The 27,366-nt window shown below is 36.7% G+C and overlaps 1 protein-coding gene and 1 pseudogene across 8 annotated transcripts in view; one reads left to right on the forward strand and one right to left on the reverse strand.

Moving 5' to 3' along the window:
* Positions 1-27,366, forward strand: part of CCDC102B (coiled-coil domain containing 102B) — a 342,906-nt gene that overhangs the window by 275,576 nt on the left and 39,964 nt on the right. For all 8 annotated transcript variants that reach the window (XM_047437804.1, XM_017025973.2, NM_001093729.2 and 5 more), the window contains one exon: positions 20,143-20,313. In XM_047437804.1, coding sequence (XP_047293760.1) covers positions 20,143-20,313 — 171 coding nt within the window. The remainder of the gene's footprint in view (positions 1-20,142; positions 20,314-27,366) is intronic.
* Positions 1,928-2,581, reverse strand: LOC100418959 (aminoacylase 1 pseudogene; annotated as a pseudogene).

Genomic DNA, 27,366 nt, shown 5'->3' on the forward strand with positions numbered 1-27,366 from the left:
TAGATATAGGTACTTAGAACAGTTTTCTAGTTATGAAACAGGGAAAATTTAAGAGCTGTTAATATACTTTGGTAAGTTATCTTCTCTCCCAAAAAGTCACAAAAATTCACATGAATGTGTGAGAATATCTTTCTTGCCATTCCTCTATCAATATTTTTATTATATTTTCATTTTCTGGGTTACTGTATTCCGTCTATTGTTAATTTTCCTTTGCATTTCTTAATCTTGGAATCTGAGTTACTTCCTATTAATTTTTATGAACATTAATAGGGTTTTACTTCTATTTGTCTTTCTAACCACTTCCCTGTTGTCACCTATATTGGCCCTTCTGCTTTTTTTTTTTTTTTCTTAAATAAATACAAGTCTGAATTGTTTGGACATTGGGTCTGTAAAACTCAATATACATGTCCATTTATTTTCTTCATTTCTCTAGAATTATGAACAAAACCAATAGCTTTGTCTATCAGGAGAGTTTACTCTGTGCAGAAACACTTTCATATACAAGGGGTTGCCTGGGGAACTTGTAAAAGGCTGATTTATCAAATGAAATTAAGCATTTTCAACAGCAACAAAAAGCATTTTCCCTGAACATTTGTAACTTGTGCAATTACAGGGCACTAAGTGTGGGTAGAGAGAATGCTGGAGACTTTAGTTATAAAGCACTACTTGGCTAAGTGTTCATGGCTTTAAGAAAAACTGTGTGGGAGTAATGCATTTCCCACTGAGTATGAGTCACTTATCTCACTTTCTCTACCCCATGGGGGCCTGTAAAATAGAAAAAGAACTTGTGATTCCATCTAAAATTTTGGTGACTAACCATTAATGCTTTAACTTAATATTTGCAAGCTCTCTAGGGATGCAAAATGCTGCATGAATGCTAAATTATATTTGTTAGAGTTGTGATTTAGCTATAGGATTAATCATATTTGCAATTCTTTAGAAGTCGTTAAATATCACACTGAGTCAGGATATATAGTAGATGAAAATGTATTTCCTACTGTTATATAATTTTATTATTTATAGATTTAATTGATGATTAATGTATGCTATTAGAAAACAAGTCTAAACTGACATTATTTTTATTTAGCCTACAACGTAAGAACTAATTTATATATGCACATGATACATGTGAGATACCCTCAGGATAACACATAGAAAGACATACATAAATATGATGTAAAAAATATGATCTGGCTTATTAGGCTTTATAATTTTTTCCTGCAATGTTTCCAGGTACACTTAAACGTTTATCTAGTGACCTTATTTTTGCCAGTTATTGTATCTTTTTTTTTTATCCTTTTTCTTTTCCTTTTCATTTGGTTCTCTGATTCAAAGGAAATAACCAACAATCACTACGTAGGGACATTTAAGTAATCTAAACAATTGCTTGGGAAGGGAGTTTGGACTTTTCATTTGAACTCCATTACATAGAATAGGGCCCTGAGTACTTTGATTATGCTCATTCATTGTTCATTCATACAGGTGATAAGTGGTTATCAGCCACCATCTTTATGCCAATCTGAATAGGAAATGCATTGACATTGAGCTCAGGGTGGGTAAGGTGAGAGTCATCTCTTAAGTGATCTCCGTTGTCTCTGGCTGAACCCCACATGGCCATTCCTGCCTCCTCCATTTCTGTTCACTTGGACTTAGTGTTTCTTCACCTTTGCTACAATGATCGAATCGCCCGGAAGATTTTCAATGAACAATGATCCAAGTGTCACCTTCCACACGAGTAGAGCAGAATATCTGGAGATGGAGCCTATTAGATATTTTGAACCTGGGTTGTAACTAGAAGACCACCTTCTTCCCGCCCCCATCCCCCGCCCAAACACCAACTTTATTATTTGGAAGGGGGAAGAAGAGGTCCTTGGCACTAGTTGGAATGGAAGCTCCAGGGGCAGAGGCTGGGGAGTTCTGGGGCTCCGCTCTCGCCAGGCAGTGTGGGCATGCTGGCCAGGGCAGGCAGCAGGTGTGAATATGTGTCAACCCAGGAGGAACGCAGCCTCATGTAGCCACTCGTCGTGGTCATGCAGCAGCACAGGTGTGTGGCTCATGGGTGAGAAGCCCTACGGCACAGAAGAAACAGCTGTCAGTGGCAGCCAGAGTGTGAGGTTCATGCCCTTGCAGACCTGGCTAAAAGCTGCCCACCAGAGGTCTGAGTCATTAGTAGGTGTCACTCAGAGCTGCATCCGCTTCTGAGCAAACTCGAAAATGTGACCCTGTCTCCAGCTGTCTGGCACCAGCCCTGCAGCTGCTGCTCAAAAGCTTTCAGGTCCACATCTGGTGCCACAGCAAAGTCTGAGCTGGCGCTTATAGTGGCAGTTGCCCATGTTATAAGCCATGCCACCCTCTAGCTTACTCAGGTTCACGGAGGTCACAGCCCCACCCTTTAGATAGGGGTTTGACTGCAGCCTCTGCCTTTCTATCTCCCAAAGGTTGAGATCCAGCTCATAGCCTCGTACAGCTTTCCTGCAGCTGTGCCCTCGCTGAAGCAGAGCCCTGGCCTAGCCTCTGAGTGCTGGTGACCCGCACCCAAGGGACTCTGCTAACTATCAAACACAGTGAAGGCATCAGTTGGCTCATGACAGATTGTCACATATTCTTTAGATGGTTTTAAGAAGGATACATACAGTTATAGTGAAATGCCTGCCTTCCATTTCTTCCCTCTTTTCCTGTAATAAAGATACACAGTGCTGAATGTTCTTTCTGTGTATATTTTTGGTCTTTTACTACATATTAGTGTACTCACAACAATATTTCATTACTTTATGCAAAATTTAAATGACCGATTTTATCCTATATAATTCTGCAGCTTGCTTTTGACACTAAAAATATTTTACAGATGTATGTATATTGATAAATGAAAGTCTAACTAGTTAATCTTAAATGTTATAGGAACCACTGTAGGTTTATTTATCAATTCTCCCTTGATGGATGTACATATATACTCAGTTACAAACTATGCCATATAAAAATCATTGTAAAGAATGTAGTAAATTTCTCCGGGTTCTATTTCAAGTAAATAGAACTGCTGTGTAAGAACCACTTCAGGTATCACTAGATTGTTCTCCCAATTGTTTGCGCCAACTTACCTTCCCATAGTGTACGCCTACACTGTGGTTGGTATCTGCTTAAATAAAACTTTATAGATATTTTATATCTATATAAATATCAAGACCTATTTATGACTTCTAGTTTAACTCATTTATTTTTAATCTATATTTTACTTAATAAAAATATTTAAATCAGCCTCTAGCCACTGGTCTGGCTAAATCCTACACAGTGTATATGTTGGACATTTATTTGTAATTTTTATTATTTTATTTAACTCATATAAATTTCCAAAGAATCTTAAAAACTGCTTTTTAAAATTTGAATTCTACTTTAATTGCTTTGGTCACTATAAAAGTTATCAATAATTTCTTGAATTTGTTGATATGGAAATTTGTTGGAAATTGTCAAGGCTTCTTTTGTGAAGTATACAGTGAAGTTTGTAAATATTCATTGTATATTTGTAAATATTCATTGCATGTTGGTATATTCATTGTATGGTCTCTTGAAAAGGGAGTATGTTCCCTTTTCACTAGTTTTATGTCAGGGCTGGGGGTACAGGGACACACTCTCATACCCATTGAAATTGTTAGGCTTTGGGTCCAAATCTCACCTTGAATTGTAATCCTCGTGATCCCTATAATCCTCCCCTCTCCCTGACCCCTCCTGCCACCCCCTCCTCCCCCGTGTAAAGGGAGACACCAGGTGAAGGTAATTGAATCATGGGAGTGTTTTCGCCCTTGTGGTTCTTCTGACAGTGAGTTCTCACAAGATCTGATGGTTTTATAAAGGGTTCTTCCCCTTTCTTCCTTCCTGATGCCTTGTGAAGAAAGTGCTTTGCTTCCCCTTCACCTTCTGACATGATTGTGAGTTTCCAGAGGCCTCCCCAGCCATGCCGAACTGTGAGCCAATTAAAACTCTTTCCTTTGTAAATTACTCAGTCTCAGACAGTTCTTTATAGCAGTGTGAAAACAGACTGATAGAGTAAATTGCTACTGCAGACAGTAGAGTGCTGCTATAAAGATACCTGAAAATGTGGAAGGAACGTTGGAACTGGGTAACCAGCAGAAGTTGGAACAGTTTGGAGGGCTTAGAAGAAGACAGGAAAATGTGGGAAGGTTTGGAACTCCCTAGAGACTTGTTGAATGGTTTTGACCAAAATGCTAATACCTTAATGGACAATGAAGTTCAGGCTGAGGTGGTCTCAGACGGAGATGAGGAACTTGTTGGGAACTGGAATAAAGATGACTTTTGCTATGCTTTAGCAAGGGGACTGGCAGCATTTTGCCCCTGCCCTAAAGATCTGTGGAACTTTGAACTTGAGAGAGATGACCTGAAGTTGGAACTTATGTTTAAAAGGGAAGCAGAGCGTAAAAATTTGGGAAATTTGCAGCCTGACAATGCTATAGAAAAGAAAACTCATTTTCTGCAGAGAAATTTAGACCTGCCACAGAAATTGCATAAGTAACAAGGAGCTGAATGTTAATTGCCAAAACAATGGGGAGAATGTCTCCAGGGCATGTCAGAGACCTTCAAAGCAGCCCCTCCCATCTTAGGTCGGCTTAGGAGGAAAAAACGGTTTCCTGGGCCAAGCCCAGAGGCTTGTTGCTTTGTGCAGTCTTGGGACTTGGTGCCCAGCATCCCAGCTGTAGCTAAAAGGGGCCAACATACAGCTCAGGCCATTGCTTGAGAGGGTACAGGCCCCAAGACTTGTCAGCTTCCACATGGTGTTCGGCCTGTAGGTGCACAGAAGTCAAGAATTGAGCTTTGGGAGCCTCCAACTAGATTTCAGAGGATGTATGGAAATGCCTCAATGTCCAAGCAGAAGTTTGCTGCAGAGATGAAGTCCTCATGTAGAACATCTGCCAGGGCAGTGCAGAAGAAAAATGTGGGGTAAGAGCCCCCACACAGAGTCCCGACTGGGAAACTCCCTAGTGGAGCTGTGAGAAGAGGGCCACCATCCTCCAGACCCCAGAATGGTAGATCCACTGACAGCTTGAACCGTGTGCTTGGAAAAGTCACAGGCACTCAATGCCAGCCCATGAAAGCAGCCGCAATGGGGCTGGTACCCTGCAAAGCCACAGGGGTTGGAGCTGCCCAAGATTGTGGGAGCTCACTCCTTGCATTAGCGTGACCTGGATGTGAGACATAGAGTCAAAGTTGATTATTTAGGAGCTTTAAGATTTGTGATGGTTAATATTGAGTGTCAACTTGATTAGACTGAAAGATGCAAAGTATTGTTCCTGCGTGTGTCTGTGAGGGTGTTGCCAAAGGAGATTAACATTTGAGTCAGTGGACTGGGAGAGGCAGACCCACCTACAATCAGGGTGGGCATCATCTAATCATCTAAAAGACCAGCTAGGATAAAAGCAGGCAGAGGAACATGGAAGGACCAGACTGGCTGAGTCTTCTGGCCTCCATCTTTCTCCCATGCTGGATGCTTCCTGCCCTAAAAATCTTTTGGACTCTTACACCTATACCAGTGGTTTGCCAGGGACTCTTGGGCTTTTGGCCACAGACTGAAGGCTGCACTCTCTGCTTCCTTACCTTTGAGGTTTTGAGACTTGGACTGGCTTCCTGGCTTTTCGGTTGACAGACGGCCTATTGGGGGACTTTACCTTGTGATCATGTGAGTCAATACTCCTTAATAAACTCTGCTTCATACTTTCATCTATCCTATTAGTTCTGTACCTTTGGAGAAGCCTGACTAATGCAAGATTTAATAACTGCACCACTGGATTTTGGACTTGCATGGGGCCTGTCGCCCTTTGTTTTTTGCCCATTTCTTCCATTTGGAACAGCTGTATTTACCCAATACCTTTACCCCCATTGTATCTAGGAAGTTACTAAATTGCTTTTGATTTTGCAGGCTCATAGGCAGAAATGACTTGCTTTATTTCAGATGACACTTTGGACTTGAACTTTTGGGTTAATGCTGGAATTAAGAATTTGGGGGAAGCTTGGGAAGGCATGATTGGTTTTGAAATGTGAAAAGAACATGAGATTTGGGAGGGGCCAGGGGAAGAATGATATGGCTAGGCTTTGTTGTCCCCACCCAAATCTCATCTTGAATGGTAATCTCTGTAATCCTCATGTTTCAAAGGAGAAACCAGATGGAGCTAATTGAATTATGGGGGTGATTTCCCTCATCCTGTTCTTGTGATAGTGAGTTGTCACCAGGTCTGATGGTTTTATAAGGGACTCCTTCCCCTTTGTTCAGCACTTCCCCTTCCTGCCACCATGTAAAGAAGGTGCCTTGCTTCCCCTTTGCCTTCCACTGTGATTGTAAGTTTCCTTAGGCCTCCCCAGCCATGCTGAATTGTGAGTCAATTAAACCTCTTTTCTTCATAAATTATCCAGTCTCAGGAAGTTCTTTATCGGAGTGTGAAAATGGACTAACACACCCACACATACATTTTATAGTAGATACATTTTTTTCATTCAAATTTTCTATATACTTACAATTCTAATTTGGTTGTTTGGCAGAGAATTGACAAGTACATATTGTATCTATTTCCTCATCTTACTTGGATGAGTCTACATAGGTAAAGTGAATTTCCCAGCCGCCCTTTATTTATCGGTAAGCATGTGCTTACCGATAAGTGTTCTGGCAAAAGGAGTATCAGTGAAAGCACTGACTGCAACTGACATTAGGGCTGGCCTTTGTGGAGTTATAAAATATACATGTAAAATGTACATGTCAAGTAGACAGCTTGATATGGAATTCCGGATTTCAGTGTATGTCTGTTAATCCTTCTATCTCATTACAATTTTTTTCAGAACATTTTTCTGCATTTCATGTTATTTAATTTTGATCTTTTATATATTTATTTATTCCTCAATAATATCTATTTCATTCATCCGTGTCTTTTTAATTTCTAGAACTTTATGTAGCTTTTTAGAAAGTTCTACTTTTTACCCCAAATCTGTCCTTTATGTTCTCACCGTTTCCTATTAATTCACTTTATTAATTTAATTATAATTTATCATTTATCATTTAATAATATGTGTTTTTTTTGGCATTTTCGCATTGCTGTAGTTTAAGCTCTTTGAATGCTATTTTTTCTGTTGTGTTTGTTTACTCCTCCTCACATTGAATCATTACTTCTTAGGATTTGAAACTTTGTGAGCTAGCTTTTCCGTCAGATTGATTTTTCTGTGGGCTTATGTATTCTGAGCTGTTGAGTCATTTGGGGCTTATTTCTGCTTTGTATTCCCACGGTTTCACTTGGCAATTAGGGTGATTTTCCATCTTGGTGATTACTCTAGCTCCTGACCTCCATGTCAGTGTTTGCCATAGTATGAGGTTTGATTTTTTTTTAATTTAATGAGGGTATTTTGTTTTATACTCTGGGATAGAAACAAGCTTGCATATGCAAGCCTGGAGCTAAATTCTCAATTTAACTGTATGCATATATCTATATTATATACATAATTACATATAGACACATATATACACACATATATACACATGTGTCTCTATATACATACATCTACATACACACATGTATATATACATCTACATATGTATACATACATCTACATACACATACATCTACTACATATATATAGTATATATATAATATATTATATATATATAGTATTAGGGTTCTCTAGAGTGACAGGAGACTAATAGGATAGATGCATAGGAAAGAGAGTATTGACTCACACCATCACAAGGTGAAGTCCCACAATAGGCCGTCTGCAAGCTGAGGAGCAAGGAAGCCAGTCCGAGTACCAAAACCCCCAAAGTAGGGAAGCCAACAGTTCAGCTTTCAGTCTGTGGCCAAAGGGCCCTAGAGCTCCTGGCAAACCACTGGTATAGGTCCAGGAGTCCAAAAGCTTTCAAGGGCAGGAAGCATCCAGCATGGGAGAAAGATGGAGGCCAGAAGACTCAGTCAGTCTAGTCTTTCCATGCTCCTCTGCCTGCTTTTATCCTGGCTTCACTGGCAGCTGATTAGATGGTGCCTACCCAGACTGAGGGTGGGTCTGCATCACCCAGTTCACTGACTCAAATGTTAATCTCCTTTGGCAACACCCTCACAGACACACCCAGGAACAATGCTTTGCATCCTTCAATCCAATCAAGTTGACACTCAATGTTAATAATCACATAATCATCATATATATATATATATATATATATATATATATAGAGAGAGAGAGAGAGAGAGAGAGAGAGAGAGAGAGAGTCATTATCATAAAATAATGAACATTATTGAGAATTTGAGTTAGTGATGTGGTTGGCTATCCAGAAGCCATTAGTGCTTTTGACATGAGAAGTTTTCCTGGAGTCATGTGAAGGAGCAATCATGGAAAGAGAAAAAAACACTGGAGATGGATAAGTGGATAAAGAAACTGCAGAAAGCTATTGTAGAAGGTTTTGCTTTGAGGGGAAAAAGAGATCTGGTCTATAGGTTGAGTGGGGCATGTAATCAAAATAAGTTTCTCTTTTTGTTTTAAGATGTAAGCCTGGCACATTGGCTCACACCTATAATCCCAGCACTTTGGGAGGCTGAGGCGGATGGATCACTTGAGGCCAGGAGTTCGAGACTAGCCTGGCCAACACAGTGAAACCCAGTCTCTACTGAAAATAGTAAAAAAAAAAAAAAAAACCCAGTATGGTGGTGCATGCCTGTAATGCCAGCTACTCGAGAGGCTGAGTTTTGAGAATCCCTTTAACCTGGGAAAAAGAGGTTGCTGTGAGCCGAGATTGTGCCACTGCACTCCAGCCTGGGTGACAGAGCAAGATTCTGGTTTTGTTTGTTTGTTTGTTTGTTTGTTTTGTTTTTAAGAAAAGCAGCAAAGTTCTGGGGTAAGTTTTATGACTAATGAATATCTAAGACTTCCCAAGTCACTCATGTCTGTCTTATGTTGCCTTCAAATATGCCCCTATTCTACTTATCCTTAGATTCTCCTAACTCTGTTTCTCTTATTCCCAGTTGTCTGCATCTGATACTTGGTCTAGAGAATAGAAATAGTGACACTTTTGTTCATTTTTTTCATACTTATCACTAGAATCAAATAGTGCATTATCAGTATGACATAAACTCACATCTGTTTTTGAATGACTATAGCAGGTAGACTTGCTTGAGAGTGGAGAAAAGGCATTCATTTCTTTCCTATTGATATAGTACATGCTCTCTGGGAATTGTAGAAAAGAAATGTATCAAAGGAAACTCCATGTAATGAACAAAGAACTTTCACATAAGGAATGTCTATTACCTATGTTTCTTTCTAAGTCCCTCCAAAGGCTATGTGCAGGCAATGATCAAAGCATAAGAGGATAGTTTATTCTTATGGTAATAACAATAATAGTAATTAGCTATGTATAAAACAACAAATGTATGTATAAAAAGCATTATGAACATGCTATTATGTGTTAGTTACTTTATCAGACATTAAAAAAATGCATTTACCATGCACAATGGCCCTTTGAGATGGGTGTTATTATTTTCTACAATAAATATAGTAAAAATAAAACTTCATAATCATGGATGTCTTGATTTCTTCTGGGATGAAATGATGAAATGTGTATTGTAAAACTAGATCTGCATTTGTTCTAACCTAGAATAGCCTATTTAACTATTCTTAATAAGTATTCCATTAGTGATATGACTATATACGTATATAGACACATACATATACACACATATATATGAATGCCTTAGTCCCAGAGATAAATATTGCACACAGACACACATACAGAGTATGACTCATGGCTGTTGAGCAAACTAGTCAGAGACATTATCAGTATAGTCTTCTCATTTGTCCTCTCATTTCTGTTTGTGATTGTTATAACAGAGTAAGTCCTGTTTTACAGATAAGATGTTAAAGAATTATATAAGTTATTATATTAGAATTTAAACAAGAGAATGACCCTCAGAGATACTTATTTTTGACCCTATTTTTATAGTCTGGGAACCTGCAGCGTCAAATTTGGAAATTTGAATTTTACATTTGTGAAAGTTTATTTGTAAGCGAAGTACATTACTTTTTTATATATATAAATAGAATTGCTATACTTCTATTTTGATTTTTTTCATACTGTAGGATCTTAATGTCTGGTGAAATATTGGTGATACATACAGATATAGTGATACAGTATTTTATTTGGATATTAGCTAATCCTTTCCACTACATATAAGTGTTCTACTAATAAGTTCATGGCCATGTGAGGCAAGCCAATGCACCCACACACTCAAATGCACTGCAGTTCAGGCCCCTCTCAATACATCATGCTCTTTCTTTCTTTTGATCTTGGCATGTGCTGCTATTTCTGCCCAGAGAGACTTCCTCTCAATCATTCCTCTTCATATCACAATTTTTACTCATATTTCAAATTTCAGACTCAATGTTCCTTTCTCTAGGAAATATTGTCGTCTTTTCCCATGCTGTTAGCTGCTTTGTGTACCTCTTCTTTAACTTACCTCCGACATAATCCTTTCCAAGTAGAGTACCTACTGATTTGTTGTTGTTGTTGTTGTTTGCTGTTGTTTCTTTCTGTAAACTAGATTACAGGTTGATTTTCTTGTAGGACTTTTCCTTAGTTCAGCTAAAGACAGGCTTTTTATCACATGACCATGAAAAATTAGGCCCACAGACAATTTAAAGGGTGAGAAAAATGGGTTTTATTGGACAAAAGGGAAAAAAAAAAAAAGAATCAGGGACTCTCTGAAAAGCCAGAATCCTGGTAGTGTGCTTCCCACATCAAAGATTAAATACCAGGCTTACCCAGGAAGAGAAGGGGCCAGGTTCCTCCCCGATGCAAACAGTGTGAACCACTGTGACTCCACCACAGGGCACAGGCTAGCTGGAGTTTCTTTGGGGACCCCTTCCCACCTGGCTGTCTCAATTTCATATCTCTGTCCTTGGTGCTAATCATTGTTACACCGCTGATTACCAATGAGTATTAGTTGGATGAATGAGTGGATGAAATGAGGAAAGGTGTAAGGAAGGAAAGAAGAAAGGAGAAATGATATCTCAGATAATAGACATTCATAGTTGATTAATATTCATCCCCTTGTCCAGTTTCCCTGCCTTGATACAAGTCTAATTTTACATATATTTTCCCCCTGTTATGGCCCCCTTGCACTTCATTATTAAAGGCTCCATTCTCAGGCCCAAGACCTAATTATTAGAGTAATTTATTTAGTAAGTATGTTTTCCTGATCACAGATGGGTTTAAACATTAGCATGTGACACAACTTTAGCCATTTAGACATAAAGTGAAGTCCTGGAGAACTAGTAAATTTTTTTCACACTCAGTGAAACAATTAAAACAACAACACTGAGAACACTGTATCAGCTTGAACAAGCTGGGTTGTGCTATAGCAACAATAGACTTGAAAATCAGGATGGCTTCAATAAAACAGTTATTTCTTGCCCGCCCGACATGTTCTTCCAATGGCGCAAAGTGACAGAGGGATACAAGTGTATATTTTGATACAATTGTAGAGGCAGAAAAAAGAGGGCATGGTGAATGGTACTCTTCAGCTGCCTAAAGATGACATCCCTTCTCATTTATTTCCTTGGTCAAAGATACTCACATGGCCATGCCCGATTTCAACACTAGGGGCTGTATAATCATACTCTCAGGATGAGCGCCAAATGTTTGTGAAAAATAATGCAGGCAACCACAGTTCTCAACACAGAAATATGAACCCAGTCCTTGGCAAGGTTACTGAACTGCCAAATTAACAACCATGAAGTCACTCTAACCTTGGATTTATCACGTAACAGAAAAACATTTTCTTGGTTTTTGCTTGTTTGTCTTTTTCCTGTTAATCACAGATGAAAATATCGTAACTGAATCAACTTTATTGTAATTTTCCCTTAACTAGTTCTCTATTAAGGTCATTATCTCTTTAAGTGAGATGAAAGTGATTTTTTTTTATTTTTAGAAACGACGTATACTTCACTGTCTCAATGTTTTCCTTTACTTTCCATGCCCTCTCCAAACCATTGAAACAAAAATTAGATTCAAACTCTATACCAGGATTTTAAGATCTTTACCCTGTCTGCCCACAACTAAATCATCTGACTCTCTTCCCCCTTTTCCTCAATACATAACGCTTAAAAATCTGTTAGAAGAGTTCTCCCACCTACCTGCAATACCCTTCTCCCTCGAGTAAGTCAACTCCATGTCATCTTGTCCTCCAATGCTATCTTCCAGTCTTTCACTTTCTAACGGAAGTCTGTCCATAAAAAGATGTGTAAGGAAGAATATACTCCCCCAGACATCTGTCTCAAAATATTTTTTTTCCCACAAAGATAGTGTTTTAGGTCTATATAACTCCGGAACATGATAAAAATAAATAGCAGTTGTCAAATAACAAGAAACAAATAATATTATGGTCTCATAATTTAAGAGAATAAATTAGGATTTTTTCAAATAAAAAGAAAAATTATCTTGTTTAAACTATGTCTTTTATGTATGTATCATTTAAATGATCATAACTTTTTCATTCTTATGTGCAATGTTTTTCTCTTTATCATGTTTTCCCCTATATAGTATCAGGAGATTGTCTTATCAACAAATGGACACAAATCTTACTAGGAGAAACAACGTTTATCTTTGCTGCTTCTCCTCAACTCTCTACCCAGCAAAATTTGGGAGATATTTTGTGATTATAAAATAGCAAGCAAAGGACAGAGGGCACATATGACCTAAGGATGACAGAGCAGAAAGGGGAAAAGATCCCCATCCCTGATTGCATTTGCTGAGTTGCTTGGTCTACTCTGGACCTGATACCTATGCTTCTGATTTCATCTGATCAAAATGAGCACATAAAACAGTCTCTTCTAGCCAGTCAATCTCCTGCTATACTTAATTCTCGTATCATGAAGCAATGTACATATATATCACTTAAAGGTACAATTTTGTGAAGTTGCTTTTATATGTGCTTTTACAGATGGGGAAAGTAGAACTTAGAAATAAGATAAAATTTGTTGATTTTTTTCTTTATTTTCTCAATACTTGAATATAATTGGGAACGTTTACTAACTGACTAGATAAAACATTAGTGGATGCTCAACAAATATTTTTGATCATTTGCCTAGTTTTCTGTGGTATTGAATAAATACAAAGACATACTCCAAAATTTGATTTTCAATCTTTTAGGCTTCTAATTATATACTCACTTTACACATATTCAAGCATTGTTACTTATAGAGATCCAAAACTAACTCTGAATTACAGAGTACAATATCGTGGGTTCACACAGTTTTATACTTTACTTTCTCAGTAAAGTTTCCATCATCTATTTCCCATCCATGGACTTTTGCTAGGAAATTTAATTGTGTAGGGTACATATTCTAAAGTGACAGCCAGGGACACCAGATGCTGAAGTCTGTTACCTGGGAAGCAGATTCTGGAGATATCAACATGCAGGAAGTGTACTAGGTAGTACATTAGCTATGGGAAGAACCAACCAGCCCAGGTCAGAGGGAGAAGTAGGACTGGGAGGGCCGTGATCATGGGACCTCAGCTGATCCTTGGGGTACTTCTGGAGCTGGAATGGACCTTTGGACCTGTCCCAAGTTGGGCTAGGAACAAGTCCTTTATACTTCTAAAATGATCACCAGGAAGTTGGTGTGGACTTGGTGGGGAGTCTCTTTGCAGCCAAGAGGAAAGAGCTGTCAGTGAAGAGTTGTTGTGAGACAGATTTTCCAGCAGCTAGTGAAATACATCCTTCCATACAGAACGGGGATCTCAGAGGCACAGGGCAGAAACTTCCTGTCACTTGATTTTTCCTGCTTTTCTTCCACCCCTCATTAATTATTCTCTATCTTAAAAAATCATCTGAGTATTTTTTTAATAATTGTCACAATTGACAAATATCCTTGATTGTTTTTTAATCTATGACCTCTACTGGATTCTAAGCTTTACAAGGTTAGAGATCGTATCTAACTAGTTCACTTTTATATGTAAAATGCATAACACAGTTATTGGCACACGGTAGACATTTAGTGAAGGCTTGTGGAATGAATGATATTATATCAACACTATAGACAATACTAAATCACAGCATATTTGACACATGAGATGTTAAGTGGACCCACTAAATATGCTGATTAAGACGGATAAAATGCTCTTATTTTAAACTATCATCTGCCACCAAGTATAATAAATGTTTATGAATAACATTGAATTTATTCTTGTTGAAGATACATGTTCCTCTGGTTTCTGTATTTTCTGAGGTAAGAATTTGATATAGTAAGAATTTATCTTAAAAACAGGCAGGTAGTACAAAAATTATAATGTGTTTAACTTGAGTGGTATTGTGACTTCTTTAATGTATTTAAGTAGCTGCATTTGATTGTGATAACAATCCAATGTATCTGAGTCAACTTTCGAGAAGAGAAAATCTGCCCTTGTTGATAGCATTATTACTTGCAGTTGGTGTGTAACAAGGCTTCAAAAGACCATGAGCAAGTTATTTCCAATTTTTCATGTTGTTATTTCTCTTAAATATAGTTGAACCATATGTTATATGGTAAATCGTATGTTACATATACTACAGATCAGTATATTATTAATGCACATCTTTGATATTATAGATGGAGAAATTTATAAACTTCTATGTATTATTAAAAAATTTGAATGGATAGAAATAACATATATAATAGTACTTTTAAATTTCCTGTATGATGCTTCGTTTTTCCTTCTATTAGATACATATAAACTGATTTGATTTATATTTACCAGCCTCTCATTATGTCATTTTAAGGTATAAGAAAATATATTTTGTCAGCTTGCTATGACTAAACTCAATCTTCAGTAGTTGATGTATCATATTACAATTAATTCTAGATAGAGAGCAATATCCTTACATATAACAAAATAAACTAATGCCATAACCACATATATAATTTAAAGCATTCCATCAAATATTTCACATCATTGGAAACTGATTCAATCTATTTGAGAAACTAATACTGTATTACTCTATTAAAATATGTATATATATATATGCAAACACATTTTATGTGTTTCTTTTCTATATCAAGATCTGAAATCATGGAAATCTGCTTATAAAAGAACTGTGAATTGTATGTACTGTCAGTTATATAGATTAGATTTACAGAGTTTTACATGCTGACAAATAATCTTTAGTACCATATATTTTTATACATATTTTCTGTTCAGATTTTTCTCTTCCAAAATATGAATATATGACATAGTAATTATGTATTTTTTTTACCATTAAAGCATATTAGAATAAGCTTGCTCTGAAGTACATAGAGATATTTACCATCTACCTAATTCTCTTTTCAAATGCAAACCACTAAATCTTCAAATTAGGATTCATTTTGGATGCTTTCCAATAGTACATCTATATGAAAGTTATAAAAGATACTGCGATTTTAGATAATAATAGCATCTAACATATTCATTGGATTATAGTGTATGATCCTATATACCTTCACTATTTACTATAACACGTACGGAAAGAACAAAATGAGTGTGTGGGGAGATTCCCATCACTTTTCTATCACAAATTAACAGAAATGAATGGATGGTAGCAAAGGCCATAGCTTTGAGATTTATTTATTTATTTATTTATTTATTTATTTATTTATTTATTTATTTTGAGACTGAGTCTTGCTCTGTTGCCTTGCTGGAGGGCAGTGGCAGGATCTCGGCTCACTGCAACCTCCGCCTCCTGGGTTCAAGTGATTCCCTGCCTCAGCCTCCAAAGTAGTTGGGACTACAGGCACATGCCACCACACAGGGCTTTTTTTTTTTTTTTTTTTTTTTTTTTTGGTATTTTTAGTAGAGACAGGGTTTCACCATGTTGACCAGGCTGGTCTCAAACTCCTGACCTCAGGTGATCCACCCGCCTCAGCCTCCCAAAGCTCTGGGATTACAGGCGTCAGCCACTGTGCCCAGCCTGCTTTGAGAATTAAAGAAGAAATCCATTTCTTCCCCTGAAAGTAAAATAGAGAGGATATGAATTAATGGATCAAAATGTCAAATAACTTGTCAAATCTTAAAGATAAGTCCTCCTGATAACAAGGTGAACGCCAGCTCTGTGATACTGTTTTGGTAAAATGAAAGTGTAGGATTAATTTTAGTTAGGTTGGCCATGAGCAATTTGCATAGCTCTCTGATACTAAATAGGAAAATATTATCTCTAACACGGGATTGTCACGTGGATTTAGAGAGAGAAGGTATGTGAAGAATTTCTCATAGTGTAGGTACCTGGGAAGCATTAATGCCTTTAAACTGATTTTTTAAAAAATCACTTTAAGCTGATATTTTAAAAATCACTTTAAACTGATTTTATCAATTTAGACTGATTTTTAAAACATCTTTGCATTAAGGAAGCAATGTATTTTTCTCCTTAAGGTGAAATCCAGTTCTTACCTTTATTAAGAGGCACTCTATGAACACAGTTAGAGTATGTTAAGCTATGAGTTTGGCTCTAAATATAATTGGATATAGTTTCTCACATAACAAAAAATACCAAGTGTCTGCCAACCCCAGGTGTAAGCAGGACTCCCCCAAAGTCTCAGATTGTTGTTGTCACTCAAGGCGCATATATCTTCCTTGCATATTTTTAAGTGATAAACATTTTTAAAAAATTATTTCCCACTCATGGATACTTTTTCTCTTTTCTCATTACACAGCTAAGTTATATCCACTTTCCTAATATAGTCACTGACAAGAGGAAAGCTTATTAGAATTGGCTTATACCAATGGTTCTCAAACTTTATGGTGAATCAGAAACACCTTGAGGACTTGTTAAACCCACAGCTTCTGGGCTCGAGCCCTGAGTTTCAGATTCAGTAGGTCTTGAATGAAGTTCCCAAGTGATGCCGTTGCTGCTGGCTTGGGTATGACTTATTGAGAATATAGTTTGACAAAAGCATACATACCTCCTAGGCCTGAGAATAAGTTGATATTCTCTGAGCAAATGGCCAAGCTGTAGAACATGAATGCCAGGGCTCTGCTTATAAAAATGGCCTATGGCCGGGGTGGAATTTGCGTTGACAAACAAAGATGTCTTTCCTTCCTTCCTTCCTTTTGGTCATTCCTTCCTCTTTCCTCTTTCCTTGTATGAACACTGAAGGCTTATTGCTTACTCCTTTTAAATCGGTCTAAGTAAATTTTATACACCTAATGACAAAGCATTAATGATATAAGAAATAATTTTGCTAAAGCACAAGGTCATGTAATTGTAACTAGGTGCGTAATTCCGGAGAGAAAGCCATCAACTTGCAAAGTTATAACTTTCCCATTAAGCTCTGAATTATTTGTGCAGCAAATTCTTTATGTCTGACAGATCAAGAAAGATCTTTTTTTAAATGTTCCATTGTTGTTCCAAATAATAGAATTGTGCTCCCTATTACATGTTTCTTTGTAAAAGAATATGGTATAGAACTTGACATTTGAAAATTGTATTCTGAAGAGAAGAAATGAGAAATCTGTTTGCATTTTAAGTGTAATGTGTGGTATAATTCAGCAAACTCAGTGATGGTGCATAAACGACAGTGTTACTGTGAAGCGATTGAAGTGACAGGGCAAGCTCACCCAGAAAACGAGTTCGAGTGTCCTGTCTAGCTGCCCAGACCAAATCTGTCTGTTTCCAGCTGCCTGTTGGCATCATTAAGGTTTAAATATCAATGGCTGTGATTTTGACTCCTATGGAATGAAGGGGCAGGATTTGCAGGACAGAAACTAAAAATGTCCCCTTCATTTGACGCTCATGTCTTCAGTGGATACTAGGAGGTGGACATTCTTGAGACAGGCAATAGTTGATAGGCATGGGGGGCGTTCTCTTCCATTCAAACTCCCTGCTTCCTAAGAGTGAGGACCAGCATTTTCTCTGCCAGGTCCTGCCCTGCATCCACACCCTCACCCCACCTCTTCTGGACTTCGGAATGCTGGGATTCACAGAGGCCAAGAGCCTGCGACTAATCAATTGTGTCAGATCAAAAGTCGCTTTATATCAGCTTGTTTCTTCTAATACCATACACTTCACACAGTTTTGCATTTTGCTTTAACATTTTGGACATCTCTCCATGTGAATATATAAAAGGCTGCCATATTATATTGAAGGGTTTAATGTTTTTTCTTAAATGTAATCAGGCCCATTTCAGGGACATTTAGTTTCCAATATTCACTGTAAATACCAGCAACAACAAAACAATGCTGAGACAAATATTCTCATAATCACAACATTTCACACAGCTATGAGTATATCTGTGAAATAAATTCCTGGAAATAGAATGGTTGTATCTGACTTTATGTGCATTTTTAATTAAAAAAATATTGCCAGTGTTTCTCCATGAATGAATCCTTATTTCTCCACATTTTACTGGCAGATTACCTTACCATACTTAGCCTTTGCCAGTCTGAAGACATCTTGATTTTTTTAATTAAGCTTTTTATTTTTGATATTTTTAGATTCATATGCAGTTGTATAAAATAATGCAGACAGATCTAGGCGTCCCTTACGCCCAGATTGTGATGAGAACATTCTCATCACAAGGTTCCCTTTAAGCTACCCTCACATGTACCTTACCCTCCTCATAGCCTGTCCTTAACCCCTGGTCACCACTACAATTTTCTACAATATCTATAATTTTGTCAGGTCAAAAATATGACATAAATTCGAATTGATGTGCCTCTAATTTGAGAGATACTGAATATATTTTTTTGTTATATGCAAATTATATACTTACTGTGATTGAATTTATCATTTTGTGATCTCATGATTTGGGATCATACTTAGGAAAACTTCCCCTACGTGATGACTAAAAGAAAAACACCACATCCACATTTATTTTCCAATATTTTATGGCTATTTTTTACTTTTGGATCATGAATTCATCATTAGTATTACTAATGATTTGAGATGTGAAAATAATTCCACTTTCAATTTCTACCTAGACATCCTAAGAAAATTACCAATGCATTTTTTTATTATTGCCTTTTTTGTGATTTTTGTATATAAAGTAATATGACAGCATGTTTTAGGAAACCAAAGAAATATCCTTGGGTTTTCCTACAGTATTATAACATTATGAAGAACCAGAGGCTAACTTTTTCTTTATAGTTTTAATAAAGATTTTTTTTTTTTTTTTTTTTTTTTTGAGACGGAGCCTTGCTCTGTCGCCCGGGCTGGAGTGCTGTGGCGCTATCTCGGCTCACTGCAAGCTCCAGCTCCCGGGTTCACGCCATTTTCCTGCCTCAGTCTCTGGAGTAGCTGGGACTACAGGCGTCCGCCACCATGCCCGGCTAATTTTTTTTTTTTTTTTTTTTTTTTTAGTAGAGACGGAGTTTCACCGTGTTAGCTAGGATGGTCTCCATCTTCTGACCTCGTGATCCGCCTGCCTCGGCCTCCCAAAGTGCTGGGATCACAGGCATGAGCCACCACACCTGGCCCCAATAAAGACGTTTTCTATAATGATAGTACAATTTATTTTACACTGTAAATTTTTACTAAAAATGAGAAACGATATTAATCTGAGGATAATTATTGTAACCTGTTAATTTATATAGTGTATGGTGTTAATTATAACAAGACTGATTTGCAGTCTAATCATCCTATGATAGATTAATATCTTTCTTTACTCATGATGGGTCCTTGCTGCAGGTTTCTGAGCCTGGTTCATGTGGTTTCAGATGTGGCAGGTAACAACATGACTACAGCCTCACAAAACCTATTTTCTTCAGAAAATAATTAAATCATGTAGTGTGCTAACTTTTAGCATCTGCTGAGTTAGTGGATGATCAGGATGAACAGCTCTTTTTGCATGCATTTATATTATTTTATTTATGGTTATGTGATTTCCTTTTGGGGGAAGGTTACATAAAAACTACTTTTGTGTAAGGTGCAAAATACATCATTTACAAAACAACGTAAAGAGTGCATTGTATTTTAGTCACATATCTTTCATTTATAGTCATATACTAATTATAATATCTGATTACAGAAATGTAGAATTGCAAATGAAGATGATGGCTCATCTAAATTCTTCCTAAAATGTTTTTCTCTTTTGTCAAAAGAAGTTGCCATTCTTCTGATTTTATCAGAATAGACTATAAATAATGTAATTTTTGTTTTCCTTTGAAAGGAATTACTGAACCTTCAACATGCCTACTATAAACTAAACAGACAATACCAGGCAAATATTGCAGAACTGACTCATGCAAACAACCGAGTGGATCAAAATGAAGCAGAAGTAAAGAAACTAAGATTACGAGTGGAAGAACTAAAGCAGGGACTCAATCAAAAAGAAGATGAGGTACTACTTTATGAGTGAACACGTGCTGGACAGCTTCTAAATAGTATTTTAGAGCATATCTAAAGATTGTCTCCCTTATTAACATATGGCATTAATGGGATATAAATATTCATATCTTAATGACTGAAATCAATTTAAAAAGAGTAAGGAAATAAGATTACACAGACAATGTGCACATGTTTGTGGCGGTAATAGTATATGTTTTACGAGTGCTCTATAGTGTCAGTACTTCAGCATGACCTTGTGTGCACGTGCGCATGTGTGTGTGTGTGTGTGTGTGTGTGTGTGTGTTTAAATATAGGCACAGTATCATTAAAGCTTGGGTGTTTTAAGATTTAAGCATCTATATCAAAAAGTGTGATATATCTTATTATTTATTATATATTTTCAGTGTTCTTTAGTGTTCAAATGAATCTAGGTACTTCATTTTGTTTTGTTAGGTCAACTCAATAATGGTTTATAGAATATTTTAGAAATTCCTGGAAGATAGATATCTCGGTGTAATATCTTCACAGCACACAGTTACAACTGTGGGGGTGATTTCAGCTGCAGTTACAAACAAAGTTGTTTTTGTTTTTTGTTTTTTTTTAAAGAAACACAGTCTTAAATGTCACTGATTGTGGGACTGTCACCCGCAGTAGCATTCTTTCAGGTGGTTTTCCAGTCACTGTTCCTGCTCCTGTTGGACAACTATTCAGGCAAAACCCATAGTTCCCTGGTTAGAAAGACTGTTTCTATATAATGCAAAACAGTTGGAAATAAAAAAATAAGCAGCTGAATTATTTTTCCATGGAGTAATTTAATAATCAAACTTACTCCACATTTTGAGAATTTGTTTTTAGTAAAAACAATTCCAATCAAGCAAACTGGATTTTCTTCTCTAATAATATTATATGGAAACAGAATCAATCATTCCACAAATGAGGCTCACACACTGTCCTCTGTGCTTTCTAGTGGCTCTTGGCAGGCGTTTCATCCTTGCTATGTCTCTTTTTATGAAGATATATATGTACTTTGTAATGATATTCATGTGTGGTGGGGCTGGATGGTGGAAGAGTAAGTTGGAAGGGGAATATAGTAGGAAGGCTCAAGAATGTGATTTTAGGTTTTTTATTTTATTTTAGTCATTATTTTGTGAATAATTTTAACATGCAAGTATTTGTTGTAGGGGGTGGGCTGGTGGTGATGATGGTGAATAAATCTTTATTTTTGTCAATATCGGCTTTAAGATATCACCTGAGACTAAATTATTGGTAAGGAAATAATTTCTTCTAGGGTTCGTGGACTAATGAAGTGCTAGTCTCCGAAGATCTGATTCACAGTGTAATTGTGCAATTTAAATAATGAGCTGCGGTCTTAAGGAGGGTAACATTATTTGTTCCTCCATGTAGGATTATGTTTCCCACATCATCAATGTCAGGTTTGGTCATGTGATATTTGCTTTGCCTGTACCTTATGTGAAGGAGCTGTGCATGCCAGCGCCGTTAGAAGCTTTGAGAGCGGACACAGGGCTCTGGCGTGTTTCTTTTTTTTTTACATATACATCTTTTCTGTCATGTCTCACGTCCTGAGGCCACCATGTCCAAAATATGCATGATTCTCTCAGCGATCCTGAAATTAAGAGGACATAAAGCTATGCCTTTGCTGACCCAAGATGGAATCTATATGGGTAGAAAGTCGTGTTTATTGTTGGAAGCCACTGAGATTTGGAGTTGTTTGTTGCTACAAAAAACAAAACAAATTTAACTTAGTTGAAGCTGACTGGTATGGTCATTAAAATAATTTTAAAAACCCAAATATTAAAATAGATGACACTGCTCCAATATAAGAACAAGCTCTAATGAAAACAATATGCAGATTTTTCAAAGAACTGAAAATGGAACTATTATTTTATCTAGCAATCTTACTCCTGAATATCTACCTAAAGGAAAAAAAAAACATTATATCAAAAAGATACCTGCCCCTGTATGTTTATTACAGCACTATTCACAATAGCAGCCATATAGAATCAACCTCAATGGATTGTGCCCATCAGTGGAGGAGTGGATTAAAAATATGATCTATTCGCACAATGGAATACTATTCACCTACAAACACGAATGAAATCATGCCTTTTGCAACAACATAGATGAAGCTGGAGGCCATTTTTTTTTTTAACAGAAAGCACTCAGACACAGAAAGACAAATACCACATATTCTCACTTACAAGATGGAGATAAATAATGTGTACACATGGAGATAGTGGAATGACAGACAATGGCGACTCGGAAAGGTGGGGTGGAAGGAGGGTAAATGATAAGAAATTACCTCAACGGTAAAATGTCCATTATTCTGGTGAAGGATATACTGAAAGTCCTGACTTCACCACTGTGCAATATATCCATGTAACAAAATTACACTTGCACCCCATATATTTGTTCAAATAAAAAAAGAAATACCTTTGTAAAATAAAAAGTAGGTGGTAAGAAAATATGTTGAAGTCTGGAATGATGGAATCTAACATTTGATACATTAGTTTCCTGTAATACACTGGAAAGCCAGTAATTTACAGAATGAGCTTGTGATTTTTAGGTGAAAACATATGAACTAATATTACTTGTTTGCTATTGGTGCATTTTGCAAATGCTTAAAAAAAGTGAACTCAGAAAAGAATTATCAAGTTTTCAAAGAGGTATATAAGGTAATATAGAAATTTAAGTAGTTCTGTGACTTCCTGATTGTAACAGTTGTAAGACCACCTGATTTCCATTTCAAAAAGGTAAAATATATAAATTAGGATGTTTTTGAACAATAAATGCCTACTAAAATTGAGCTTTGTGGCAAGGACCAAATCATCAAACCTAATGCTAAAGCTCTGAATCTATTAGTTTCCTGTAAATTATTTATGCTGAACAAAAATAGTGTAGGGATAAGAGAATATGATTGTGACTCTACCAGAACATCTTCTATTCAAGGTAACTGTAAGTAGCTCAAAGATAGAGAAATGTTTCTAAAAGTATTACTGATGTGAATATTGACCTATGAAATTTATTGGAATCAAATAGAAAAAAAAGATTACTAAGTCATTAATGGATATTATATTGGTAAGTGAGCTTCTAGTCTGGGCTAAAATAGACTAATTTCTCAAGATTAACATAATCCTTTGTTCCTCCAAACTTCCATGAGAATGAAGCCAGCTGAGCATGCTCTCAACTCCCTGTGAGAGAATATTCTCCAATGGCAAATTCAGATATGGTCACAGTATCTAATAAAACTAGAAGGACCTTCTAGAGAGTAGAGCTAAGGAACATAGAAACTATAGACCAGGCAGCTATTTTCAGGGAGCAGAACCCAGGCCAAATACAGGAATATTTTCCATGGTCAGTATAGGTGCCCTTGCAACATCTACCAAGTAGATTCCATAAATGTTTCCTATTTCCACTTTTTATGTGGAAGCATTTATAGAAATTTTTCTGTCCTAGTTTCACTATAGTATATTGGGCAAGCATGTGTGTGTGTTGGGGGGGCGGGGTGGTACTTGCTTTATTTAGTACATAGATCTCTAGAGCAAGAACAGACATATATACTGAGATTCGTTGTGGAGATAATCACGAGGTGTTTTTTTTGTGTGTGTGTGTGTATTCTAAATTTATTTGAAGGGAAAAAATAGCCTGTTGAATCTTTCTATAAGTGATTACATTTTAAAAATATTTGTAGGCATTCCATAGAACTATAGAGTCATTGAACTTTGAGGCTAATGCCATGTTTGGAACGTTGCTTGGGTACCTTGGTGAGGGAGTAAAAAATTTCAAGTGAAGAAGGGAGAAACACAGTTTGTGACGAAGTGAGTGGCCTGCACTATACTGTATGTGAATGAGAGAGAGAGAGAGAGAGAGTGTGTGTGTGTGTGTGTGTGTGTGAAAGAGAAAGAGAAAAAGAGAGAGAGAAAAAAAATTTGCTGTTCTTTGCTGTGGGAGGAATACATTTCCCAAGCATGAATGGAGGCATGGTCCAATAACTTGTTTGGCAAATGGAATGCGTGCCGTTTTCCAAAAGAATTTAGGAATCGTAGTATCACAGGGAGAAGTAACTGGGTATATGTCACATTTCACCTAGAGGTAGGTGTATTGAAATATATGTTTAACACACAAAACCTTATAATTTTCTGTACTTCTAATCGAATCAATTGATTACCACAGAAGACTGACCCAAAGCACCATTAACTCACATGCATATTTTAATGTGTATTATTTGATTGCAGTTGTAAGGTAACCAGTTTTTCTCTGATTAAAGGTCACCACTGTTTCGGATAGTTAGGAAAAACAATCTTAATCATGAAAATAAAATTTTACTTTAAATAGCTATCAGCATCTCCTCAATTTGATTTCTCCTTGAAAGGAAAATTATGTTAGTTTTATTGCTGAACTTTTCAATTTAATAGTAGCAAATTCTTCAGCTTGCAATTAGTGTTTAACTGGAACCATCAAATAGGAAGTTTTCCACTGCCACAGGTCAACATATTTTAAATAAATGAAAATAAGATAGTTGTCCTCTGTACTGTAGAGAGACTAGAATAGTATGTACTTGGGCCATAGGAAAAAATCTGGGATCTAATTAAATAAACAAAGAATTTCTTTTTTGGATGAGTTGCTTATTTTAAGCAAATTTACAAAAGTATCTAATATATTTGTTAGAAGGTGAACATTCATCCTTCATCATTTTACTAAAGTTCTTTGAATACATATTACATTATATAATGGCACATTTTTTTATTTTTATTTTTATTTTTGAGATGGAGTCTCCCTCTGTCACCCAGGCTGGAGTGCAGTGGTGTGATCTTGGCTCACTGCAAGCTCTGCCACCCATGTTCATGCCATTCTCCTGCCTCAGCCTCTCAAGTTGCTGGGACTACAGGTGCCCACCACCATGCCTGGCTAATTTTCTTTTTTTTTTTTTTTTTTAGTAGAGACGGGGTTTCAACATGTTAGCCAGGATGGTCTCGATCTCCTGACCTCAGGATCCGCCCGCCTCAGCCTTCCAAAGTGCTGGGATTACAGGCGTGAGCCACCGCGCCCGGCCAATTTAATTGTTATTTCATTATCATAGCACAGGTTCATGTATACATCCATATTAAAATATCAAAATAACCGACCACTTTAATAAATATGATGCAAAACACCAGCCTGATAAAAAGTATAATAATGCAATAAGCAAAACTTTTAGAAAAAGGAACCTAAACTGAAATCACAAGGTTAAGTCTCTAGTATCTAAGAGGCAATGAGTGCAACTTAAGCAATTACAATGACACTTGACTCTCTACGCTACAGAACTAGTGTCAGGAAGGCTAAAGGACAGATGAGATAAAGTTTTCCTAAGAATTTTATACATTTTATTAGGAAATATCATGCAAAAATAGATAAAGGGGAAAAATCAAGTCAATTATCACCCTGCCATGATAACGTGTTACCTTAGTGTATGGGCTTCAAATGCCTAGGTAATCTTACACACAATTATAGTCACTGTTGCAAATAATATTACATTTTGCTTTATGAATCACTATGACCAGTTTTTATATTGTTTTGTAGTATTCATAGTTGGCATTTCAAGCAATGTAATATGTATTTCCTTGGGTGTAAATTTCTTTAATCAGTCAGTCTTCTCTTGATGAAGGTCATTGGATTTTTTCCCAATATAACTCTGCCATAACTTATTTTATGTACATACCTTATTTTCTACATCGGGAAAAAAGTTTTCTAAGTGGAATTTCTTAGCTAAATGATATAAATATATATGGCTCTTAACATTTACAGTATATATTAGCAATCTTCTTTGGTTCTCAATGATAGGTCAAATTGTGGAAATACTGACTGTATCTAATGGAGAATATTAACTGCATCTTAACTAATATGAAAGTAAAGTAAACCTCAAAAGATTTATTTATAAAATTAAAAAGGGTTTAATCTCTCATCTTTCTGTGTTATTAATAAGATTTACTTTTAGTTCCAGTTTCTTTTTTAATTAATTATTTATTTACTTATTTGTTTATTTTTGAGACATGGTCTCACTTTGTCACCCAAGCTGGAGTGCAGTGGGGCGGTCTTGGCTCACTGAAGCCTCAACCTCCCGGGCTCAAGCAATCCTCCCACCTCAGCCCCGCAAATAGCTGGGATTATAGGTGCTTGCCACCATGCCTGGCTATTTTTTTTGTGTGTGTGTTTTTCTGCAGAGATGGGGTTTCTTCATGTTGCCCAGGCTGGTCTTGAACTCCTGAGCTCAAGTGAGCCACCAGCCTCGAGCTTCCCAAAGTGCTGGGATTACAGGCGTGAACCATCTTGCCAGGCCAGTTTCTTTCTTTCGTGGAACTCTTTTTAAAAATTTTAACTTTTAGGATTGTAATTACATTTATTTTTAAATCTCTTCCTACCTTTAATTTTTGTATTTTAACCTTTTAAATAAAAATTATACATATATTTAATGTGTATAATGTGATGACCTGACATAAATAGCAAACTAATTACCAGTCGAATGCATTAGCATAAACTTCTCCACATAGTTAACATGTATTTTCATAATGAGAACACCTAAGATCTACTCTAAGCAAATTTATGGTATACAACACAGTATTCTTAACTGTAGTTGTCATACTGTACTTTCAACCTTTAGAACATATTCATGCATATAAATGAAACTTTGACCAACATCTCTTCATTCCTTCCCTGCCCCCTGCCCCGGGTAACCACCTGTCTGCTCGCTGCTTCTATAAATTTGACATTTTCAGATTCTACATATGAACAGGATCACACTGCATTAGTCTTTCTGTGTCTGGCTTATTTCACTTATCATAATGTCCTCTGGGTTATTCCATGTTATCACAAATGGCAGAATTTCCTTCTTTTTAAGGCTAAATATTTCTGTGTGTGTGTGTGTGTGTGTATCTCATAACTTATCCGTTTCTGTGTGTGTATGTGTATGTCACAATTTATCCCTTTCTGTGTGTGAGTGTATCTCACAATTTATCCATTTATCCAACAATGGACACTTAGGTTGTTTTCATATCTTCACCATTGTGAACAT

The sequence above is a fragment of the Homo sapiens genome, chromosome 18 (assembly GCF_000001405.40).
Source record: "Homo sapiens chromosome 18, GRCh38.p14 Primary Assembly".
In the NCBI taxonomy this organism is placed as follows: domain Eukaryota; kingdom Metazoa; phylum Chordata; class Mammalia; order Primates; family Hominidae; genus Homo; species Homo sapiens.